At 46.6% G+C, this 22,420-nt stretch overlaps 1 long non-coding RNA gene across 1 annotated transcript, besides 6 other annotated features; it reads left to right on the forward strand.

Moving 5' to 3' along the window:
* The first annotated feature begins 1,195 nt into the window (after positions 1–1,195).
* LOC105371499 (uncharacterized) lies at positions 1,196–21,603 on the forward strand. The gene is made up of 3 exons (XR_001752768.2): positions 1,196–2,186; positions 3,137–3,217; positions 21,523–21,603. It is a non-coding gene; the product is annotated as an uncharacterized LOC105371499 (long non-coding RNA).
* Positions 4,301–4,595: a silencer, noted in NCBI's record as "tiled region #3058; K562 Repressive non-DNase unmatched - State 22:ReprW". NCBI's record gives its function as "represses a minimal TATA promoter and a strong SV40 promoter by Sharpr-MPRA in K562 cells {active_cell/tissue: K562}" and the evidence as "EXISTENCE:reporter gene assay evidence [ECO:0000049][PMID:27701403]".
* Positions 5,771–5,986: a silencer, noted in NCBI's record as "fragment chr17:4552879-4553094 (GRCh37/hg19 assembly coordinates)". NCBI's record gives its function as "represses an EF-1alpha promoter that drives an FKBP-Casp9 reporter gene in an ReSE screen in phorbol 12-myristate 13-acetate-treated (for megakaryocytic differentiation) K562 erythroleukemia cells {active_cell/tissue: K562(+PMA)}" and the evidence as "EXISTENCE:reporter gene assay evidence [ECO:0000049][PMID:32094911]".
* Positions 13,081–13,250: an enhancer, noted in NCBI's record as "experimental_47177/47178 CRE fragment used in MPRA reporter constructs". NCBI's record gives its function as "activates a minimal promoter by MPRAs in K562 erythroleukemia cells, with activity observed for both the introgressed and non-introgressed 17:4560274 variant alleles {active_cell/tissue: K562}" and the evidence as "EXISTENCE:reporter gene assay evidence [ECO:0000049][PMID:34662402]".
* Positions 14,306–14,475: an enhancer, noted in NCBI's record as "experimental_47179 CRE fragment used in MPRA reporter constructs". NCBI's record gives its function as "activates a minimal promoter by MPRAs in K562 erythroleukemia cells, with activity observed for the introgressed 17:4561499 variant allele {active_cell/tissue: K562}" and the evidence as "EXISTENCE:reporter gene assay evidence [ECO:0000049][PMID:34662402]".
* Positions 16,415–16,584: an enhancer, noted in NCBI's record as "experimental_47181 CRE fragment used in MPRA reporter constructs". NCBI's record gives its function as "activates a minimal promoter by MPRAs in K562 erythroleukemia cells, with activity observed for the non-introgressed 17:4563608 variant allele {active_cell/tissue: K562}" and the evidence as "EXISTENCE:reporter gene assay evidence [ECO:0000049][PMID:34662402]".
* Positions 20,371–20,540: an enhancer, noted in NCBI's record as "experimental_47184 CRE fragment used in MPRA reporter constructs". NCBI's record gives its function as "activates a minimal promoter by MPRAs in K562 erythroleukemia cells, with activity observed for the non-introgressed 17:4567564 variant allele {active_cell/tissue: K562}" and the evidence as "EXISTENCE:reporter gene assay evidence [ECO:0000049][PMID:34662402]".
* Positions 21,604–22,420: the final 817 nt, after the last annotated feature.

Here is a 22,420-nt window from a genome sequence, read left to right on the forward strand (position 1 = left end):
ACTCCCAGCAATCACAGTTACCAGTCTCTTCTGTGCACTAATATTACTGAGCAAATACACGCCTATCTTTGTCTTTTTCTGCACATTGTAGCATGCCTTATTCTGCATCTCGTTTTTCCATAGTGCAACAGGAGGTCATTCCATATCCATGCATAAAGAGCTTCCTTGTTCTTTGCTAAGGCTGCCATTTGCTGTAACGCCATAAATTCTACTAGTCTCTTGTAGTGGACACAGGTTATTAGTAATCTTTTGTAGCTATGAAAAAGTGCTGAAAGAAATAAACCTCGCATATACAGCATTTCTCGTATGAAAGTATCTCTGTAGAACAAAACCCTGGAGATAGAATTTCTGGACCAAAAGCATATCGAATTTAGGCAGAAACTGCTCAATTGCCCTCTGTAGAAAGTTGTACTGATTTAGACTCCCACCAGTGGACTGTGTATGAGAATGCCCATTCTTCCTCACTCTTGCCAATGGTGTGTTCATAACCTTACCTTAGCCAATCGGATAGGTGAAAAATGGTACCCTAGTTTTAATTTTAATTTGCATTACCCTTATTATGAGTAAAGTTGAGCTTTTTTTTTTTTTCTTTTTTTGAGAAGGAGTTTTGCTCTTGTCGCCCAGGCTGGAGTGCAGTGGCGCGATCTTGGCTCACTAAAACCTCTGCCTCCCGGGCTCAAGCAATTCTCCTGCCTTAGTCTCTCGAGTAGCTGGAATTACAGTCGCCTGCCACCATGCCCGGCTAATTTTTTGTATTTTTAGTAGAGATGGGTTTTCGCTATGTTGGCCAGGCTAGTCTCGAACTCCTGGCCTCATGTGATCAGCCTGCCTCAGCCTCCCAAAGTGCTGGGATTACAGGTGTGAGCCACCGTGCCCAACCAAAAGGTTTTTTTTATAAGTGAAATTCAGAAAAATCAAAATGTGGTGGGTAAAATTCATCTTCCATAGAAATGGCACAAACCCAGTAATTTTCTTGCAGATTAAAAGTGTGATTGAAGAGTTGGGAAGGCTTCCAAAAGTAATTCACAGTAACTTGTGGGTAGACTGAGTGAGGTTAGATTATGATGCAGTTGTGATGGGAGAGGAAAGACCCAGGCCATTTCTTCCCGTCTTGGATAGGGATATCTATGGTGGTTAGCCTATGCCTGTTCCAACATTGTATGTTGGGGGTGGGGTCAGATGACTTTCTCTTTAGTTTACAGGTCTTCAGAAGAAGAGGAGCCCAGGCACGGTGGCTCATGCCTGTAATCCCAGCACTTTGGGAGGTCGAGGTGGGAGAATCAGCTGAGTTCAGGAGTTCAAGACCAGCCTGACCAACATGGTGAAACCTCATCTCTACTAAAAATACAAAAAGTAGCCAGGCATGGTGGTGGACACCTGTAATCCCAGCTACTCAGGAGGCTGAGGCAGGAGAATCGCTTGAACCCCAGAGGCAGAGATTGCAGTGACCTGAGATCGTGCCACTGCACTCCAGCCTGGGCAACAGAGTGAAACTTCTTTAAAAAAGAAAAAAAAAAAGAAGAGGAGGAATTGTATTCTGGAAGTATACTTAAGGTAATACAGTTGAGAAATCTCATCTATACATGGACCTGATTTAGATGATGAAATTCTAGACTTTGAGCTGATGCTATAATGGGATTCGACTTTGGGGTAGCTTGAGAGGGAGCGAGTGTATTTTGCATGTGGAAGGAATGTAAATCACCAGAATTCAGAGGGCATGCTCGTGGTGGCCATTCTTTAAAACATCCCCCAGTGATTCCGACCTCCTGATATGCATGCCTTTCCATAGTCTCCTACATTGTGTCTGGGTTGGTCTGCAAAGCCAATGCAGTATGAAATGATGTGTGTGACTTCCAAAGCTAGGTCCTAAAAGACATTAGGGCTTTCCGTCTCCTCCCTCCCCACTCTCCCTCTTTCTTGTTCTGCTTTCTCTGAGAGAAATTAACTACTATGTCATGAGGTCACTCAAGAAACTCTATGGAGAGGTCCACGTGGCAAGGAACTGAGCCCTCCTGCTACGAGCCAGTGAGGAACTGAACCCTCCAACTACCAACCACGTGGGGCAGCCATCTTGGAAACAGATCCTCCTGCCCCGGTTAAGACTTCAGATGACTACAGCCAATCTCTTGACTGAAACCTCATAAGACTCTTGAACTAGAACCAACTGACTCCCAAAACTGTGTAAGGTAATGGGTGTTTTTTGTTTTGTTTTGTTTTTGAGACAGGGTCTTGCTCTGTCACTCAAGCTGGAGTGCAGTGGCATGGTCACAGCTGACTGTAGCCTCCACCTCCCAGGCTCAAGTGATCTTCCCACCTCAGCTTCCCAAGTAGCTGGGACCACAGGCATGTGCCATCACACCACTGAGTTTTGAGGTCGTTGTAAAGCAGAAATAGATAACTAATACGGTCTGCATGCTTATTTTCTGAATCCTCAAACTCCCAAGCTTATGTAAAGCCAAAAAATATTCAATGAACTGACCACTTTCAAAATTAGTTCACTCACCTCTTCCTCCTTTTTTTTTTTTGTGGCTTTTGTTTTTTTGTGTTTGTTTGTTTGTTTGTTTTTGACCCAGAGTCTCGCTCTGTCACCCAGGCTGGAGTGCAATGGTGCGATTTCGGCTCACTGCAACCTCCACCTCCCAGGTTCAAGCAATTCTCCTGCCTCAGTCTCCCGAGTAGCTGGGAAAACAGGCGCTTGCCGCTATGCCTGGATGATTTTTTGTATTTTTGATAGAGACAGGGTTTCACTGTGTTGCCCAGGCTGGTGTCAAACTCCTGAGCTCAGGTGATCGGCCCGCCTCGGCCTCCCAAAGTGCTGGGATTACAGGCGTGAGCCACTGCACCCGGTTCTTCCTGCTTTATTAATGCCAGCTACCTTTGTCCATCTAACTGGCTACAGAGTGAAATTTCAAGTCTTGAAACATTAGAAGACTTTGTAAAGTCCATAGAAGTACTGTTAGAAAACGGATCAGTCAGCAAAGCAACTGACAAATAATGTTGATGTTGAAAGAAGAGGCATCCACCTGAAGTGGTTCAGATGAGCTGAGCAGGGACAGGAGAGGGCCAGTCAATAAGTGACACATTGGCTGCAGTCAAAGCGACAGGCTTGGACAACGAACAAAGCTTTTCTATGCAGGTGATGTCCACTGGTCACTTATGTGTACCCTCTCTGTCCCGATATGGCTCCAGGACACTGACATCAGATGATATTTCCAAGGTAAGTGCAGAGAAGACCCTGGATGTGGACTTTGCTTCTCCATGGGCCTCCTAATGCCTGGGTTTTTGAAACTCAAAAATCCAAAACTGAGCTCAAGTGCAGTAAGCCCCAGCTGAGATTATGAAAGTACCAGGATCATAAAGATACATGTGTCCACTGGGTGCAGTGGCTCCTACCTGGAATCCCAGCACTTTTGGAGTCTGAGGCGAGAGGATCACTTGAGCTCAGGAGACCAGCCTGGGCAACATCGTGAGATTCTGTCTCTACAAAAATAAAAATTGGCCGGGTGCGGTGGCTCACGCCTGTAATCCCAGCACTTTGGGAGGCCAAGGCGGGTGGATCACCTGAGGTTGGGAGTTCGAGACCAGCCTGGCCAACATAATGAAACCCTGTCTCTAATAAAAATACAAAAATTAGCCGAGCATGGTGGTGGGCAACTATAGTCCTAGCTACTTGGGAGGCTGAGGCATGAGAATCACTTGAACCCAGGAGGCAGAGGTTGCAATGATCCGAGATCGTGGCCACTGCACTGCAGCCTAGGTGACAGAGCGAGACTCCATCTCAAAAAATAAAAACAAAAATAAAAAATATTAGCTGGGCATGATGGTGTTTGCCTGTAATCCCAGCTGTGTGGGAAGCTGAGATGCAAGGATCACTTCAGCCCAGGAGTTCGAGGCTGCAGTGAGCTATGATTGTGCCTGTGAACTCCAGCCTGGACAACAGAGGGAGACCCTGTCTCTGAAAAAACAAAATCAAAAAAATATGTTAATATCGTACTTTACAAGTATTATTTTGTCAAAGTGGTGTCGAGAATGTCAAATATTGCTTCTCAGCTGGGCGCGGTGGCTCACGCCTGGAATCCCAATGCTTTGGGAGGCTGAGGCGGATCACCTGATCAGGTCAGGAGTTCGAGACCAGCCTGGCCAACATGGTGAAACCCCATCTCTACTAAAAATACAAAAATTAGCCAGTCATGATGGTGCGCACCTGTGATCCCAGCTACTTGGGAGGCTGAGGCAGGAGAATGGCTTGAACCTGGGAGGTGGAGCTTGCAGTGAGCCGAGATTGCGCCACTGCACTCCAGCCTGGGCAACAGAGCGAGACTGTGTCTCAAAACAAAACAAAGAACATGTCACTGAAATGTAGGCCTGAGGGAAAGAAGCAAACGATCAGTGGAATTTTTTTCTGCCCAGTGTTAAAAATTGAAATTGACCTCCAAGCTGTCAATGCCTTCAACTCTACCATTGCCCAACAATTCTCAAAAAGATACAGGGTTTGGACATCAGACTTCAGATAAACATACTCCCACAAGCAGGAGGAAAAACCACTCTGCCCGTGTGGGTTAAGGCTAGAGGAGCTTTAGATGAACAAAAGCACCAAATAATATGGAATGCAGTTTGGAAAACAAGGATCGGTTAGAGGAAGATGGTAATTTACAGAGGAGCTTCACTGGGAAAATTCAGACTTCAGAATAAGCTGAAGATCTTCCTGAATTCACACAAGAGAGGGAGAGGGTATCTTCTACCTTAGAAAATAAAATAAAACAGAGTTGTTCCTGGAGGAACCACCTTAGATTTTGGAGCAGAAATTGATGTGAATCTGGCTCAGCCTCTAAGGGCAAATTCTCAACAATCAAGATGTCAGGGAGTGGGGTTCAGTGGTCCTCCCACTTCTGATTTCCTAAGAACAAGCTGATTGGAGGCTGTTGGCGCCGAGAAGCTATAAGCAGAACTAGAAGCAGAGCAGGCTATATGATTGATTAGGGGTGCATATTTGCCTTTCTCAGTTGGTCCTAAGTGGAAGTGGAGACAGAAATGAAGAAATCTGGCAGTTATTGACCAAGCCCTTACTGTTTGAGGCCAATTGCTGTAGAGGATTTGTTTGGCTTCCTTCCAGGGCTGGTTGCTACAGAGGTTATGGGACAAAGGTCTGTGTTTATATTTGATTCTGTCCATTGTCCTTTTGTATAGTCAGTCTCTCACTAGCGATGTATGACAGTTCCAGCTGCTCTGTATTCTCACCAGTACTTGGTACTGTTTGTTTTGGATGCAAGGGATGGTTTGTGGGGGAGTGGGGAGGGATTAGCCATTCTAATAGGTATACACTGGTATGCCGTTATGGTTTTAATTTACATTTTGCTAATGACTGACTATACTGAGCATCTTTTCAAGTGTTTATTTGACATTTGTATATCTACTTTGGTGAAGTATCTATTCAAACTTGTGTGGATTTTTTTTTTTCCTCGTTGTTGAGTTTTGAGTTATTTATATATTTGTGGAGCAACTCCAGCTTGGATGCTAAGCAGCTATGTTGACTTTTTTTTTTTTTTTTTTTTGTAGAGACAGAGTCTCATTTTGTCACCCAGGCTGGAGTGCAGTGGTGCGATCTCGGCTCACCGCAACCTCTGCCTCCTGGGTTCAAGTGATTCTCCTGCCTCAGCCTCCCAAGTAGCTGGAATTACAGGGATGCACCATCACGCCCAGCTAATTTTTGTATTTTTAGTAGAGACAGGGTTCACTATGTTCACACTGAGACCAGTATGCGCCAGACTGGTCTCAAACTCCTGACGTCAAGTGATCCACCTGCCTTGGCCTCCCAAAGTGCTAGGATTCCAGGCGTGAGCTACCGTGCCCGGCCTCATGTAGACTTTTGATTAACCACAGTTCAAGGAGCCTGTAAGATTTCCAGTTTACCTATTGTTCCTTGTGTAAGAGTATGTACTTACCATAAAGCCTGCCCTTCAGCAATTGTCCTATACATCCCTTCTGAAGCATGCACCCTTTCCGTATGATATATAAGGCCTGGGTCTAGGGAGTAGTGGAGAGGGGATCCACGATCTTGTCTCACCACCACCTGAGACACAGATGTGGCTTCTGTTCCTAAGTTTCTATTAAATGTTTCTGAGAAACTAGATATGTCAGCCTCTTTCTTCGGCCTCTCAGCTTCCTCAGACTTTTGCAGATAGGTTTGCGTAAGTCTGCCCAGCGTGGAGCAATATTTTAGATATTAAGTCCTTTTTTATTTATTTATTTTTATTTTTTTTTTGAGATGGAGTCTCACTCTATTACCCAGGCTGGAGTGCAGTGACGCAATCTCGGCTCACCGCAATCTCCACCTCCCCGGTTCAAGCGATTCTCTTGCCTTAGCCTCCCAAGTAGCTGGAATTACACGCATGTGCCACCATGCCCCGGCTAATTTTTGCATTTTTAGTGGAGGCAGGGTTTCACCATGTTAGCCAGGCTGGTGGTCTTGAACTCTTGACCTCAGGTGATGCGCCCTCCTCGGCCTCCCAAAGTGCTGGGATTACAGATGTGAGCCACTGCGTCCCGCCAGATATTATGTCCTTTGAAAGACGTGTGATTTACAAACATTTTCTCCCCACAAGCAGCATCTCAGAGTGAAGATGCCTTTTTATCTCTTAGCAGTGTCTTTAGCAGAGTAGTTTTGAATTATGATGAAGTACAATTCATCAATTTTTTTCATTAAGGATTGTGTTTTGCCTATGCCTAACAAAAGACCATAAAGATTCTCTCCTGTTTTCTCTAGAAAGTTTATGATTTCACACTTTATATTTAAGTCTGTGATCCATTGAGTTAAATTTTGTATGAGGTATGAAGAATGGGTCAAGTTCATTTTTTGCATATGAATATTCATATGCAAATATCATTCCAGCACCATTTCTTGATTCCTCCATTGAATTGCCTTTGCATCCTTGCCAAAAATCACTTCACCACACCTATGCCTATGTTTGGGCTATTTTTCTCCATGATCTACGTGCTTATCATTCCACCAATACTACACTGACTTGATGACTGTAGCTTTATAAGTATTGAAATCAGGTAGTACTAGTCTTGAAACATCGTTCTTCATTTCCAAAACTATTTTAGATATTCCATTACCTTAGCCTTTTGCTATAAATTTTGCAATCTGCTTATTGATATTGATAAAAATTATTAGCATAAATTCCTACTGTATTTTTGGCCGGGTGCAGTGGCTCACGTCTGTAATACCAGCACTTTGGGAGACTGAGGCATGAAGGTGACTTAACCCCAGGAGTTCGAGACCAGCCTGGCCAACATGGTGAAACTCCGTCTCTACTAAAAATATAAAAATTAGCTGGGCATGGTGGCGGGCACCTGTAATCCGAGCTACTCAGGAGCTGAAGCAGGAGGATTGCTTGAACCCAGAAGGCGGAGGTTGCAGTGAGCCAAGATCATGCCATTGTACTCCAGCCTGGACAACAGAGTGAGACTCTGTCTTAAAATAAATAATTAAAATCCTTTTTTTTAAAATTGGGATTGCATTGAATCTATATATATATATATATATATATATATATTTTTTTTTTTTTTTTTTTTTTTGAGACAGAGTTTCGCTCTTGTTGCCCAGGCTGGAGTGCAATGTCGCAATCTTGGCTCACTGCAACCTCCATCTCCCAAGTTCAAGTGATTCTCCTGCCTCAGCCTCCCAAGTAGCTGGGATTACAGGCATGCACCACCACACCTGGCTAATTTTTGTCTTTTTAGTAGAGACGGGGTTTCACCATGTTGGCCAGGATGGTCTCGATCTCTTGACCTCGTGATCCGCCCACCTCAGCCTCCCAAAGTGCTGGGATTACAGGCGTGAGCCACTGCGCCTGGCCGTGACTTCTGAGACTAGGTCAAATGCCATGCAATTCCTTTCACTTTGCTGCCTTGGGATCACTCTTGCTAACTCTGTGAGTGAGCCTTTGCTCACTCTTGGAACGGTCACCATGCTGTGAGGAAACCCAGGTGGCATGGAGAGACCATGTGTGGATGTCCCAGCCGACAGCCCTAACTCTAGATCCAGGTAAAAAGCCAGTACTGACCACCAGTATGACTTAGGAAGTCTTCCAGATGACTCCAGCCTCAGCCACTGTCTAACTACAACCACATGAAAGTCTCCAAGTAAGGATAATTTAGCTGAGCCCCTGTCAATTGTCAAAACTCTAAACGCTAATAGTAAAATAATGATTGATGTCTTCAGTCGTCATTTTGGAGTGATTCATTATGCAATAACTGGAACAGACATGCAGAAGTCAAAGACAAAGTAGAAGAAGGCCTGGAGAGATGAACTAAGTCACTCCTTGTCTCAAGAAGTGTTGGCCAGGCGCAGTGGCTCATGTCTATAATCCCAGCAGTTTGGGAGGCCAAGGCGGGTGGATCACCTGAGGTCAGGAGTTTGAGACCAGCCTGGACAACATGGTGAAACCCTGTCTCTATGAAAAAACTAAAAATACAAAAATTAGCTGGGAGTAGTGGTGCACACCTGTAGTCCCACCAACCGGAGAGGCTGAGACAGGAGAATTGCTTGAACCCGGGAGGTGGAGGTTGCAGTGAGCCCAGATCACACCACTGCACTCCAGCCTGGGCGACAGAGCGAGACTCCATCTGAAAAAACAAAACAAAGTGTTGGCGGAAACCACAGGCCCCCTTGCCTTACAGGAGACAGAAGCCTAGGGGATAAGGCATACCAGCTGCAAACAGGGCAGACATCCACCCAGTGGCACTCCACTTTGTGGATGCCAAGAGATGTGTGGTGGCCGGGCATAGTGGCTCAAGCCTGTAATCCCAGCACTTTGGGAGGCCAAGGCGGGTGGATCATGAGGTCAGGAGATCAAGACCATCCTGGCTAACACGGTGAAACCCCGTCTCTACTAAAATTACAAAAAAATCAGCCAGGCGTGGTGGCAGGCACCTGCAGTCCCAGCTACTCGGGAGGCTGAGGCAGGACAATGGCATGAACCCGGGAGGCGGAGCTTACAGTGAGCTGAGATTGCAGGAAAAAAAAAAAAAAAAAACAAACAAACATGTGTGGAGCCCACTAGCTGAATCTAGTGTGAAAAAACAAACAAAAAACAGGCAGGATATACCAATAGCTCTCCAGGTCATCCTTTAACTGATTATTTTCCAGCCCCACCCAACATCAATTAGCCATATGTACTGATGGAAGTCATGTAGGTCGAGCACAGGAGACATCACAGAGAAAAGAGTGAGGAAATTTAACCAGTTGCTAAACAACCAGAAGGAACCAGGAAATAATCCCCCAAAAAAGGGCCTTAGGGAAGGATCCTGTCCAACCAACCCTTTTGGAGGAAATGAGAGGAGTACTGGGCTTAATCATTGGCTGTAAGATGACGATGACTCCAGCCTTGGTCTAAATACACTGTCCATCATCTGGGTGAAGCGGAGGAAGACGACGTGAGTTCAAGAACTCCAGAATTCTTATTAAATCCCAAGTCTTTGATGTGGAAATAAAGTTTAGGAAATGGTTATGAAAGAAAAATGCCTTGTAGAAAACTTCTGAATAATTTTAAATTAAGAGGAACAGTGGTTGAACTAGGTAAATCAAGAAGTATGAGTACATTTATGTTTACAGAAATAAAGATTGACTAAAATATGAAATACCACAAAGCCAAAGAATGCAAGTAGGACAAATTTTGATTTTATCTTCGTCTTGAAATAAATTAAACATGGAAAATTCAATGAATTAGATTTCTTTTCTGTCTGACTCTAATGAATAAAACCCATGTGTGTTATGTATGTGTAATGTGTGTATGTGTGTGTGTGTGTGTGTGTGTGTGTTTTCAGTTCTATTCAGGACATAAGTCAAGCTATTAAAAACAAATATTTACAATATTGGCTCAAACTGTGCCTGTTTTCAGAATGAAGTTATCAGGATTTTGGTCATTTGGAAGTAATAAGGTTATACTTGGCTATAATGTATTAAAAGCATTGCTGAGAGACTTGGAAAGAAATAAGGTTTTTTGGAAACCTCAGAACCTGAGAAAAGAGTTGGCAACTGGAAGATTTTCTAGTGAAATTCCAAGTGATATGGTGTCATTTGAAAATGATACTTAATCCTGCAAACAATTTACATGGAATTAGTTGTTTTCAGTTCAGCTGCTTCACTTTGAACTTAAAAGTGAAAGATAGGCCGGGCGTGGTGGCTCACACCTGTAATCCCAGCACTTTGGAAGGCTGAGGCGGGTAGCTCACCTGAGGTCAGGAGTTCGAGACCAGCCTGGCCAGCATGGTGAAACCCCCGTCTCTACTAAAAATACGAAAATTAACTGGACATGGTGACACATACCTGTAGTCACAGCTACTCAGGAGGCAGAGGTGAGAGAATTGCTTGAACCCGGAAGACGGAAGTTGCGTGAGCCGAGATCGTGCCATTGCACTCCAGCCTGGGCGACGGAGGGAGACTGTCTCAAAAAAAAAAAAAAAAAAGGATGTAGTAAGAAGCTTTGACCACCCAAACCCACCCATGACTTGTGAATGTGTGTGCAATTTCGGAAACACCTGAGATTCAATATAAGGTAAACTGGGCCATAGATACCGCAGTAAGATTAAGAAAAACAAAATACTTGTAAATGTTCTAACTGAAATGTTGAACTGAAGACAGAGTATTTAACATAAAGAGGAGGCTAAAGAGCAAGAGTGTACCAGGTCAAACTGTCACCAGGATATCTGACAAATGTCGCTACCTGAAATGCCTGTGAAGAGACAGACGGGGAAGAGCCTTTGCAACTCTCTCCTTGGGGCAAACGGTAGGCTGTGGCTCAAAGATGAGTCAAGGAATAGGGTTGTGTGGAAGTCCCTACAGTCTGCCTCAAGCACAGAACACACAGTACATAAAATAAACACACGGAAGATTGGCCTCTGCCATTTTTTATTCCCAAGGTGATACATCCATCCATTCCACCCTATGCCTGAGAAAGCTGGCCTCAGCAACCAGGGTGAGAACACTACCTCTCAGTCCAAAGAGATACTGCAGACGGTCCTGATTAAAAAAAAAAAAAAAAAAAAAAAAAAAATGGGGGAGGGGAGAGAAGGGGAGGGGAGGGGGCACAGTGGCTCACACCTGTAATCTCAGCACACTGGGAGGCCGAGGCAGGTGGATCACCTGAGGTCGAGGGTTCGAGACCAGCCTCACCAACATGGAGAAACCCCGTATCTACTAAAAATACAAAATTAGTTGGGCATGGTGGTCCATGCCGGTAATTCCAGCTACTCATGAAGGCTGACGCAGGAGAATCACTTGAACCTGGGAGGCAGAGATTGTGGTGAGCCGAAATCACGACATTGCACTCCAGCCTGGGCAACAAGAGCAAAACTCCGTCTCCAAAAAAAAAAAAAAAAAAAAAAAAAAAAAAAAAAAAGCCAGACGCCGTGGCTCATGCCCATAATCCCAGCCCTTGGGAGGCCAAGGCAGGCAGATCACCCGAGGTCAGGAGTTCCAGACCAGCCTGCTCAACATGGTGAAACCCCGTCTCTACTAAAAATACAAAAATTAGCTGGGCGTACTGCCACGCACCTGTAATCCCAGCTACTGGAAAGGCTGAGGCAGGAGAATCGCTTGAACCTGGGAGGCGGAGGTTGCAGTGAGCCAAGATTGCGCCATTGCACTCCAGCCTGGGCAACAGAGTAAGACTTCATCTCAAAAAAAAAATTGTTTTAAATATATAAACTCGTAAGAAAAAAGACAGTAGGAGAGATTACAACTGCAGATGAGATTTAACAGATTTTGTCACCTGGAAGCAGCCAGGTGATAACCGACTTAACAGATTAGAAAATGATGAGAACGGTGGGCCCAAAATTGGTGGATTCTTGGGCTCACCGACTTCAAGCATGAAACCGCGGACCCTCGCAATGAGTGTAGCAATTCTTAAAGGCAGCGTGTCCGGAGTTCGTTCCTTCTAATGTTTGGACGTGTTGGGAGTTTTTTTCCTTCTGGTGGGTTGGTGGTCTCGCTGGCTCAGGAGTGAAGTTACAGACCTTCGCGGTGTTACAGCTCTTAAGGCAGCGCGTCTGGAGGAGTTGTTCCTCCTGGTCTCGCGGTTCAGGAGTGAACCTGCAGACCTTCGCGGTGAGCGTTACAGCTCATAAAAGCAGTGTAGACCCAAACAGCGACCAGACTTACTACAAACAGCACAAACAAACAAACAAAAAATACAAAGAACAAAACAAAAAAACAACACGCACACACGTGTTCCAGCTTGTTGTTTCTGCGACCTCGGGCAGCCTGCTTTTATTCTCTTATCTGGCCCCACCCACATACTGCTGATTGGTCCATCTTACAGAGAGCTGACTGGTCCGTTTTACAGAGAGCTGATTGGTCTGTTTTCACAGGGTGCTGATTGGTGCATTTACAATCCCTGAGCTAGACACAAAAGTTCTCTATGTCCCCACTAGACTAGCTAGATACGGAGTGTGGACACAAAGGTTCTCCAAGTCCCCACCAGAGTAGCTAGATACAGAGTGGATTGGTGCATTCACAAACCCTGAGCTAGACACAGGGTGCTGATTGGTGTGTTTACAAACCTTGAGCTAGATACAGAGTGCCGATTGGTGTATTTACAATCCCTTAGCTAGACATAAAGGTTCTCCAAGTCCCCACCAGACTCAGGAGCCCACCTGGCTTCACCCACCCGGTGGGTGGGTCCCGCAGCAGGCCGCACGTGGAGCTGCCTGCCAGTCCCGCGCCATGCGCCCGCACTCCTCAGCTCTTGGGTGGTCGATTGGACTGGGCGCCTTGGAGCAGGGGGCAGCGCTCGTCGGGGAGGCTCGGGCCGCACAGGAGCCCACGGAGCGGGGGTGGGGAGGCTCAGGCACGGCAGGCTGCAGGTCCCGAGCCCTGCCCCACGGGAAGGCAGCTAAGGCCCGGCGAGAAATTGAGCACAGCAGCTGCTGGCCCAGGTACTAAGCCCCTCACTGCCCGGGCCGGGGGCGCCGGCCAGCCGCTCCGAGTGCGGGGTCCGCCGAGCCCACGCCCACCCGGAACTCACGCTGGCCAGCAAGCACCGCGCGCAGCCCCTGTTCCCGCTCGCGCCTCTCCCTCCACACCTCCCCGCAAGCTGAGGGTGCCGGCTCCGGCCTTGGCCAGCGCAGAAAGGGGCTCCCGCAGTGCAGCGGCGGGCTGAAGGGCTTCTCAAGCAAGGCCAGAGTGGGCGCCAAGGCCGAGGAGGCGCCGAGAGCTGCCGGCACGCTGTCACCTCTCAACGAGATGTGCTGGGGGGCAGAGCTGGGGTTGTGAGACCACCAAAATGCATGCCAGTTCCTGACGCAGTGTTACCGAGTGAAAGGGCTCGCTGCCCCATGCACTAGAAGCCGATACTATGGCACCAGGTTTTTGAGAAAACGAAAGCTTGTTATCGCAGTTCGACCAACAAGGAGACAGAAGTCCAGCTCAAATCTTTCTGTGCCAGCTTTAAGGCAGTGTCTTCATTAGAAAATGTTTAAGCCGGGCGCGGTGGCTCACGCCTGTAATCCCAGCACTTTCCGAGGCCAAGGCGGGCGGATCACGAGGTCATGAGATCGAGACCATCCTGGCTAACACGGTGAAACCCCATCTCTACTAAAAAATACAAAAAAATTAGTGGTGGCAGACGCCTGTATTCCCAGCTACTCGGGAGGCTGACGCAGGAGAATGGCGTGAACCCGGCAGGCGGAGCTTGCAGTGAGCGGAGATCGCACCACTGCACTCCAGCCTGGGCGACAGAGCGAGACTCCCGTCTCAAAAAAAAAAAAAAAATGTTTAGCGGGTGGATTCTGAGATGAATAGGTGATTAGTGGAAGGGAAGGAAAGGTCTGGAAAGTCCTCGGGCCTCCACAGTGGTATCTTCATGCCTCTTCATGGGTCATAGGTGCAAATTTGGGGGGCGCTAGTGTGAAAGGTGCAGTGGAAAGGCTGTGAGGTCAGCGGGCTCATTCTGCATAGACTCCAGCTGGCCATATGGATTCCAACTGATTTCAGCCAGTTTTTTTAATCTCATAAGCAGAGGAAGTTTCAGCATTTCAGCAAGAGGTTTCTTTTCTTATCTGCCATCCTGCAAACTTAAGAATTTCTGTTAGTCATTGGTTTCTTTCTCTTTGGGGCATAGTTTCAACAGAGTCCTGAAAAAGCTCAAAAATTGAAGGCACCAATTACCTCTGAATGCACAGACATAGAGTAAGATTGGACACAGAAAATCAGCTGAAAATAGCTAAAGGCAGCAGTTAGACCCCCAGATCTCTTTCCCCAATCTGCACAGCCAGGAAATTACCTCTGCCTAATCCTGGGGGAAATATAAGATTATTTTTGGCTGGGCACGGTGGCTCACGCCTGTAATCCCAGCACTTTGGGAGGCAGAGGTGGGCTGATCACAAGGTCAGGAGTTCAAGACCAGCCTGGCCAATATGGTGGAACCCTGTTTCTACTAAAAATACAAAAATTAGGCAGGCATGGTGGCGGGCGCCTATAGTCCCAGCTACTCGGGAGGCTGAGGTAGGAGAATCACTTGAACCTAGGAGGCAGAGGTTGCAGTGAGCCAAGATCGCGCCACTGCACTCCAGCCTGGGCGACAGAGCCAGACTCCGTCTCAAAAAAAATAAAATGAAATAAAATAAAGATTATTTTCTGGGGAAACCAGGCACAGCTGAGTGTCAGGTTGCAATTCTATGCTGAAAACAACATACTGGACAGGGGGATTCCCCGCCCCCACACACCCAAGCTTCCTGGACACCAGCAGCCTGGCTTACACCCTCTGAGTCAGAGATAAGAGATCTGGGGAGACTGAGCATAACCAACAGACATGGCCTAGAGATGCTGGCATCTGGCATCCCCATCACCCCCAGCAAAGTCCTCTAGTTGAAAAGTTCCAGTAATGCACACAGTTTCCAATGAGCTCACAGGGCCTTACTTTAACTATGACAGCCAAGCACCACCAGATATTTAAGGAAAGCTCCCACTGTGAAATAAAGAGACCAGACAGAAAGGGAACTTGGAGAAAAGACAGATAAGAGCGTGCAGAGGAAAACTTTTTCAAAATATTATCGTAATGTACAAAGAGAGATAAGAGAAGATATTGCAGCCATGAAGCAAGAACAGGAACCTATTTACTACAGCAACAAAAAGAACATTCGGATTATAAGGAATCTAAACACTAAACACTTGGAAATCAAAACTTGATAGCAGAAATTAAAATTTCAAAAGAAGGATTGGAGGAAAAGTTGATGAAACATCCCAGAAAAAAAGACAAAGACATAGAAATCAAGAAAGAAAAAGTAAGTAAAATTAGAAAGTAAGTCCAAAACTCAACATCCAAACAATAGAATTTCCCGAATAAGAAAAAAATGTGAGGAAAACATTTAACATAAACAAGAAAATTTTCTAGACCTGAGGACATATTATTAGTTCCAGGTTGATACAACCCACCAAGTGCCAACAAAATGAACATAAACAGACCTGGACCCACGCATAGCACTGCACAATTTCAGAAAGCTGGGGACAAAGAGCAAAATCCTAAAAGCTTCCAGAGAGAAAAAAAAAAAAAAAAAAAAAAAACATTGCTTACATACAAAATGACAAAATGAGCCAAAACGACCTCAAACTTTTTTTTTTTTTTTTTGAGAGAAAGTCTCACTCTGTCACCCAGGCTTCAGTGCAGTGGCACACACATGGCTCACTGCAACCTCAACCTCCTGGGCTCAAGCAATCCTCCTGCCTCAGCCTCCCGAGTAACTGGGACCACAGACGTGCCCCAACATAGTCAGATAATTTTTTAAATTTTTATAGAGATAGAATCTTGCCATGTTGCCCAGACTGGTCTCGAACTCCTGTGCTCAGGCAATCCTCAGGCCTCTGCCTCCCAAGGCGCTGGGGTTATAGGCGTGAGCCACCGGGCCCATCAAATTCTTAATGGCAACATTGGAAAACAGAAGAAATGACAAAATGTCTACAGGATTTTGAGGGAAAAGAATTTCTGATCCTTGTACCTGGCCAAATTGTCAAATAAACATGATGATAAAGTTATTTTCAGAAATGCAAGGAGTAAACCCTTTTACCTCCTACACACCCGTTCTTAAGAAGCTGTTGGAGGATGTGGTCCACTGAAATAAAGAAATAAGCCAAGAAAGAGGAACGTATGGGATCCAGGAAACAGAAAGGCAAAAGGAAATTCCCAAGGATGAGGAAGAGAAGTTCAGAATAAAATAAGAGGAACAGTCAGTCCAGAGTGCAGCACGAAGTATATCTCCAAGAATAAATGACCGAATGAACGAATGAATCTTACTTTGATTAAATATAAATTATAATAAGATGCAAGGCCGGGCGCGGTGGCTCACGCCTGTAATCCCAGCACTTTGGGAGGCCGAGGCGGGTGGATCACGAGGTCAGGAGATTGAGACCATCCTGGCTAACACGGTGAAACCCCGTCTCCACTAAAAATACAAAAAATTAGCCGGGTGTGGTGGCAGGCACCTGTAGTCCCAGCTACTCAGGAGGCTGATACAGGAATCGCTTGAACCCAGGAGGCAGAGGTTGCAGTGAGCCGAGATCACACCACTGCACTCCAGCCTGGGTGACAGAGTGAGACTCCGTCTCAAAAAAATAAGGGCCTTCTGTGTTGTTACAAGAGCAACTGTATCCCCTGTTCAGCGTGACCCACAAGTTTAGGAGTCTTTTTCAGTGCCCACATTCAGTACTCTGCAGAAACTGAAGAAATAATCCAAGCAATAAAACTAAGCTGGAATTTTGTTTTCCGGGTTTTTGTTTTTGTTGCTGCTGTTGTTCTTGCATTCCAGTGGTCAAAGGCCCCACTCTTGATGAGCGTGTGGTCAGATGAGAACAGAGAGAGGACTAGTGGGATCCAACCATCTGCTAACCTGTCAATTCTGCCACAACCTGCACCTTATCTTTGCCTGACAATATACAGCATTCTTGTTCAACAGGCATCCTTTTAGATAAAAGTTGTAAATTTCCTGTCAGTTGGGATTATTTTTGCTTTTGACTGGAGAGACACAAAAATGTGAGGCCAGGCGCGGTGGCTCATGCCTGTAATCCCAGCACTTTGGGAGGCCAAGGCGGGCAGATCACCTGAGGTTGGGAGTTCGAGACCAGCCTGACCAACATGGAAGAAACCCCTGTCTCTACTAAAAATACAAAATTAGCCGGGCATGGTAGCGCTTGCCTGTAATTAATCCCAGCTACTCAGGAGGCTGAGGCAGGAGAATCGCTTAAACCCAGGAGGCAGAGGTTGCGGTGAACCAAGATCGTGCTCCAGCCTGGGCAACAAGAGAAAAACTCCATCTCAAAAACGTTTGGAATTCAAGACCAGCCTGGCCAAGATGATAAAACCCCGTCTCTACTAAAAAATACAAAAATTAGCCAGGTGTGGTGATGTGCACCTGTAATCCCAGCTACTTGGGAGGCTGAGGCAGGAGAATCACTTGAACCTGGGAGGCGGAGGTTGCAGTGAGCCGAGATCCCACCACTGCACTCCAGCCTGGGTGACAGAGCAAAACTCCATCTCAAAAAAAACAAAAACAAAAAAAAGGCTTTAACGGCTAAGTAGAAGTTAGCACAGGTGGTCCATGCTATAGAGATTCAGCTAAGGGCCATGAATAGATACATGTAGGGATCAGGGAAGGAATGAGCTTAGGGATGGGATAAGGGACAGAGTTCGTGTCAGGGATGGGACCTGTGAATTGGTGACATAGGAAGCTGAAATTCACAAACAGCTATAAAAGACATTAATGGGAAAATTCACATATGGACAACATATTAGATAACAGTATTCTCTCATTTGTTAAAATTCTTGACTGATAATTGTATCGTGATTGTGTAAGAGAATGTCCTCAATCTTGGGAAATACTATATAAATATTCAGGAGTATATTAGTGTTTAAGAATAAGGTATGATGGTGCAACTTACTCTCAAATGGTTCAAGAAAGAAAATTCAGATATCGCCAGGCGTGGTGGCTCACGCCTGTAATCCCAGCACTTTGGGAGGCCGAGGCAGGCAGATCACGAGGTCAGGAGATCGAGACCATCCTGGCTAACATGGTGAAACCCCGTCTCTACTAAAAATACAAAAAATTAGCTGGGTGCGGTGGCGGGTGCCTGTAGTCCCAGCTACTCGGGAGGCTGAGGCAGGAGAATGGTGTGAACCTGGGAGGCGGAGCTTGCCATGAGCCGAGATCGCGCCACTGCACTCCAGCCTGGGCGACAGAGTGAGACTCCGTCTCAAAAAAATAAATAAATAAAAATTAAAAAAAAGAAAGAAAGAAAAAGAAAACTCAGATATCAAGAAAGTGAATGTGGCAAACTTTAATATTTGGTTAGTCTAAGTTCAGGGTAGCTGTTGAACTGCTATTGTTATCTTTTCTACAGATCTGAAAATGTTTGGGGAATAAATGAAGTTCTAGATGTTTGTCAGCTGAAATACTAGTTTGCTATAGTATAAAGGTCAAAATGTCCCGCTTTTTGTCTCCAGCCACGTAGGATTGGTAGAGCTCCCCAACCTTCTTCTAGCCAGAATACCTGCCCCTCAGACTGTCCAAAACACAGGCACTACTCTCCAAACCCTTCTGATACCTTTATATCTTCCCACCACACTCAACCCCTTTATGGACCTGGCAGCTCTCTCTTGGGGCACCCATTTGTACTCTATTACCTAACAATTTCCCTTCATTGTATTTATCCATTTACCTTTCTCTTTCTCGGGAGACTGAGAGACCCCTGGAGACAGTGACTGTGTAGTTTTCATTTTTATCTCCAACATCTAGCACAACATGTGGCCTACAGGAAGTACTATATGCATGTTGCGGAAGGAACAAGTGAATGAAAGGCTTGCTGGGTGGAAAAGCAGACAGTGTAGTTGCAGTACGACAAATGAGGCCGGGTGCGGTGGCTCACGCCTGTAATCCCAACACTTTGGGAGGCCAAGGAGGGTGGATCGACTGAGGTCGGGAGTTCGAGACCAGCCTGACCAACGTGGAGAAACCCCATCTCTACTAAAAATACAAAATTAGCTGGGCATGGTAGCACATGCCTGTAATCCCAGCAACTCGGGAGGCTGAGGCAGGAGAATCGCTTGAACCCGGGAGGCGGAGGTTGCGGTGAGCTGAGATCGCGCGCCACCGTACTGTACCCTAGGCAACAAGAGCGAAACTCTGTCTAAAAAAAAAAAAAGACAAATGAAAGCAGGGCTGGTTGGCAGGAACTGAACTGGTCAGAGTGTAAATGAGTGCAGGTTCTTAGTGTTCAAGACCCAAAAGTGTGGCTTCAGCACCATGTTTCACAGGAGAGGCTGAGAAACCAAAGACATGGGAGACTTCAGGGAGTTAGATGTCCGAAAGGTGAAGAAATCTGGGGCAACACTTAGTTCAAGTGTTGGGAAACATTAGAACAGCATGAGATAAGGCAGACCAAGGGTCTTTGCAAAGGACTGAAAACGAGAAGAAACCTCTTGAGCTCTGGATCCCATGCGGGAGCATTTCCTTGACTTCGTGTGCACAAATATCTCTTTATGCCGAGTCTTTTGCCAGGAACCACATGGAGAAAAGAAGGCCTAACACACAACCCTTGTCCAGGGGGTCTACAGATAAGTTGCTATTTAGGGAAATCCACTGGGCAGTTTGTAGGGAGGTCACTCATCCAGTATTTGAAAACAGATTTGCACTGGACCCAGACAGGTCAAAGACTAGAAGTGGAAGTGACCCAGGCCCCGGGACTGAGGATCCATGAGACCCCACAGTGACAAAGTCCTAAGAATGGCACCCTGTGGGCTCCCTAGGATCTGTGCCCTGAGAACTGCCCCTCAAAGTCTCCTTGGCTTGCAAGGGGTGAAGTGGGGGGAGGGTGTGCCATGCTAGGGGTGCCCTACCACCCCAGCCCATTCTTTTTTGTTGCATTCAGTCAAAAGGGAGCAGGCTGCAACAGACGGTGTGAGAGGAACCCGAGCAGCTAAGCTCCCATCAGAACTCAGTTTCTCAATCTGCTCCAGCAATGCACATCCACCCCGCTGGAGAGGGAGCCTCCCCGGGTTCTTGCAGAGCTTATCCTACTGCAGGTGATGGTTTGCTTATCTCCCACGTTCAGCTCAAAGAACTGAGGAGGAACCACAATTAGACATTCGTTTGTTCATTGGTTCATTCATTCATTCGTTACTGAGCCCCTTCTACATAACAGGAATTTGGAACTGGGGATGCAGCAACAGACAAACCAACAATGTCTCTGCTCTAATGGTGTTTACATTCTATTGCGAGGAGACCAACTAAATATTCAAAAATATATATCATATATATCAGGTGGGGGGTGGGGGAAGCAGGAGCTAATGAGGGGAGATGGAGGCAAGAGGGGAGTTTTAGACAGGATGGCCAGTTAAGGCTTCTGAAGAGAAAGCATCAAACCTCTGCCTCTGTTGGGGTGGCCAGGGCCCAGAAGCCTGAGATCTTGGAGCTCTGCCTCTCTGTCCCTGCAGACTGAGAAGGAACCATAGAGAGGCTGAGGAGCAGCTGCTCCCTGGCCGACAGAAACCATTCAAAGAACATACCATTCAGGAACCAAGTAGGGCAGGCGCCTGGGTTGCCACAGTCCCTGTGCTGAGGTGTGAGTGGCGGCGGAGCAGGGCCGGCACCTCACCGCACCATCTTCTCTCCTTCCTTCACGAGGTCTTACTCTTCCCCAGATCCAATGGACATTTCTCAACAGCACGATGTTTTCTATGTTTTCTGCCTCCTGTTTGAAGTTCTTTTCTGGGACATGGCCTTCTCCAAGTCCTCTTCACGCTCCTTAAAGGGGCTCCTCTTGCCCCTAAAATGTGGTGTGATGTGGTTCCACTTAAGCCCACGTCTCTTTCCACTCCAGTCATCCTCCCTGGGTGACCTGCCCCCTCCCAAATCTTCTCCAGCCCTGAACCCTGTCCTCAACTACACACCTCACATATCCAGCTGCTTCTTACCCCAGAGGTACTGCTCATTCAAATGTTCTACATTATTGTCAGCATGTGAATTCCCTTGGAGCAGCATCTTGGATAATATGCATTTCCCCAATGCCTGGTGCCCTGGCTTGTGCACCATAAGTATTCAATAAATGCTTGTTTAAATCTTTCTTCCTTTCCCTTTCCCAACCCCAAACTACTCCTATCTTGGCTACAGGCCCTTCATTTGGGGGATGATCTTTAGTTTCCAGCTACCTACTCTCCCAAAGCCCCGTCTCTAGGGAAGCAGAAGCAACAAGGATACTGAGTGTGACGAGAGAAGGCTAAAGGCCGGGGCTAGGCAGCCGGTTCTTTCAGGGGAAAAGCATGAAGACTGAGAGACTGTTCAGTCCTGCCAGCCTTTGGCAAGAGTACCAGAAACCGAAGCACTCCTATGTGGCAGCCAAGCCCGGGACGACAGGCCAAAGGGCACTCTGACAGGGCAGCACCACCTCCCCATCCCTGCCCTTGGGTCCTAACCGAAGCCAGACTGCACCAGCCTCCACGTGGACCTGTGTAAATCTCCTCTCTGCTCTCCCAGGTCCAACTCTCCTCCACAGCCTGCCAAAGCTGGTCAAAAAGAGGAGTCACTTCCCTCAAGGATGAACTGTAAAGGAATGCCTGCCACTTAGAACACGGCCCAAGTTCCTGAGCACAGCTTTCGAGGCTCTCACCACCTGACCCCCGTAAACCTGGCCAGCCACATCCTCATGCCTCCTTTCCTGCATCACCTGCTCCAGCGAACTAAAGCAGCAAGGTGCCCTGAAGGTCTCCACCCATCTCTGAACCCCCCTATTTCTGCTAAGCCATTATCTTTCTCCTGCACTTAACACAACTGAGGGGCTCAAAGACAGAGCCATAGTCTATAAACCCTGTGAAATTTCACCATGCAACTTTTTGAAAATCCTTGTCAGACAATTCCAAATAGACGCTAGCCATCCAATTGTGTCCCATGCACCCGTGCAAATTTAATAAACAGATCTACACCCAAGCTACTTGCAGTGGTTTTTGGTTTTGAGAATGGGTCTCCCGGTGTTGCCCATGTTGGTCTCAAATTCCTGGGCTCAAGCGATCCTCTTGCCTCAGCCTCCCAAGGATCTGGGACTTCAAGCATGCACCACTGCACCCAAGAAACCTTCTCCAGGATAACCCTGATCTATTATCCTTTGAGTATGATTATTAACTGAAGAATTTAACTATCCTAACATTCAGCCAACCCTGTCCTCGAGCACAGGGCTGTGCTTGTCATAGACTCTTGAAGAGCCTGTGGAAGTCAATATCCTGCCCGTATTTCCCCAACTAGCAATTCCAAAACCCAGGACTAGTCTGACAGGCTCTGTTTGGAACTGCAGACCCATTCTGGCCCCTACCAATTGTTTTCTTCCCTAGATCAAGCCAAAACACACCTGAATAACCTGCTCTTCCTCCCAGATATTGGA

Source organism: Homo sapiens, chromosome 17 (assembly GCF_000001405.40).
Source record: "Homo sapiens chromosome 17, GRCh38.p14 Primary Assembly".
Lineage (NCBI taxonomy): Eukaryota > Metazoa > Chordata > Mammalia > Primates > Hominidae > Homo > Homo sapiens.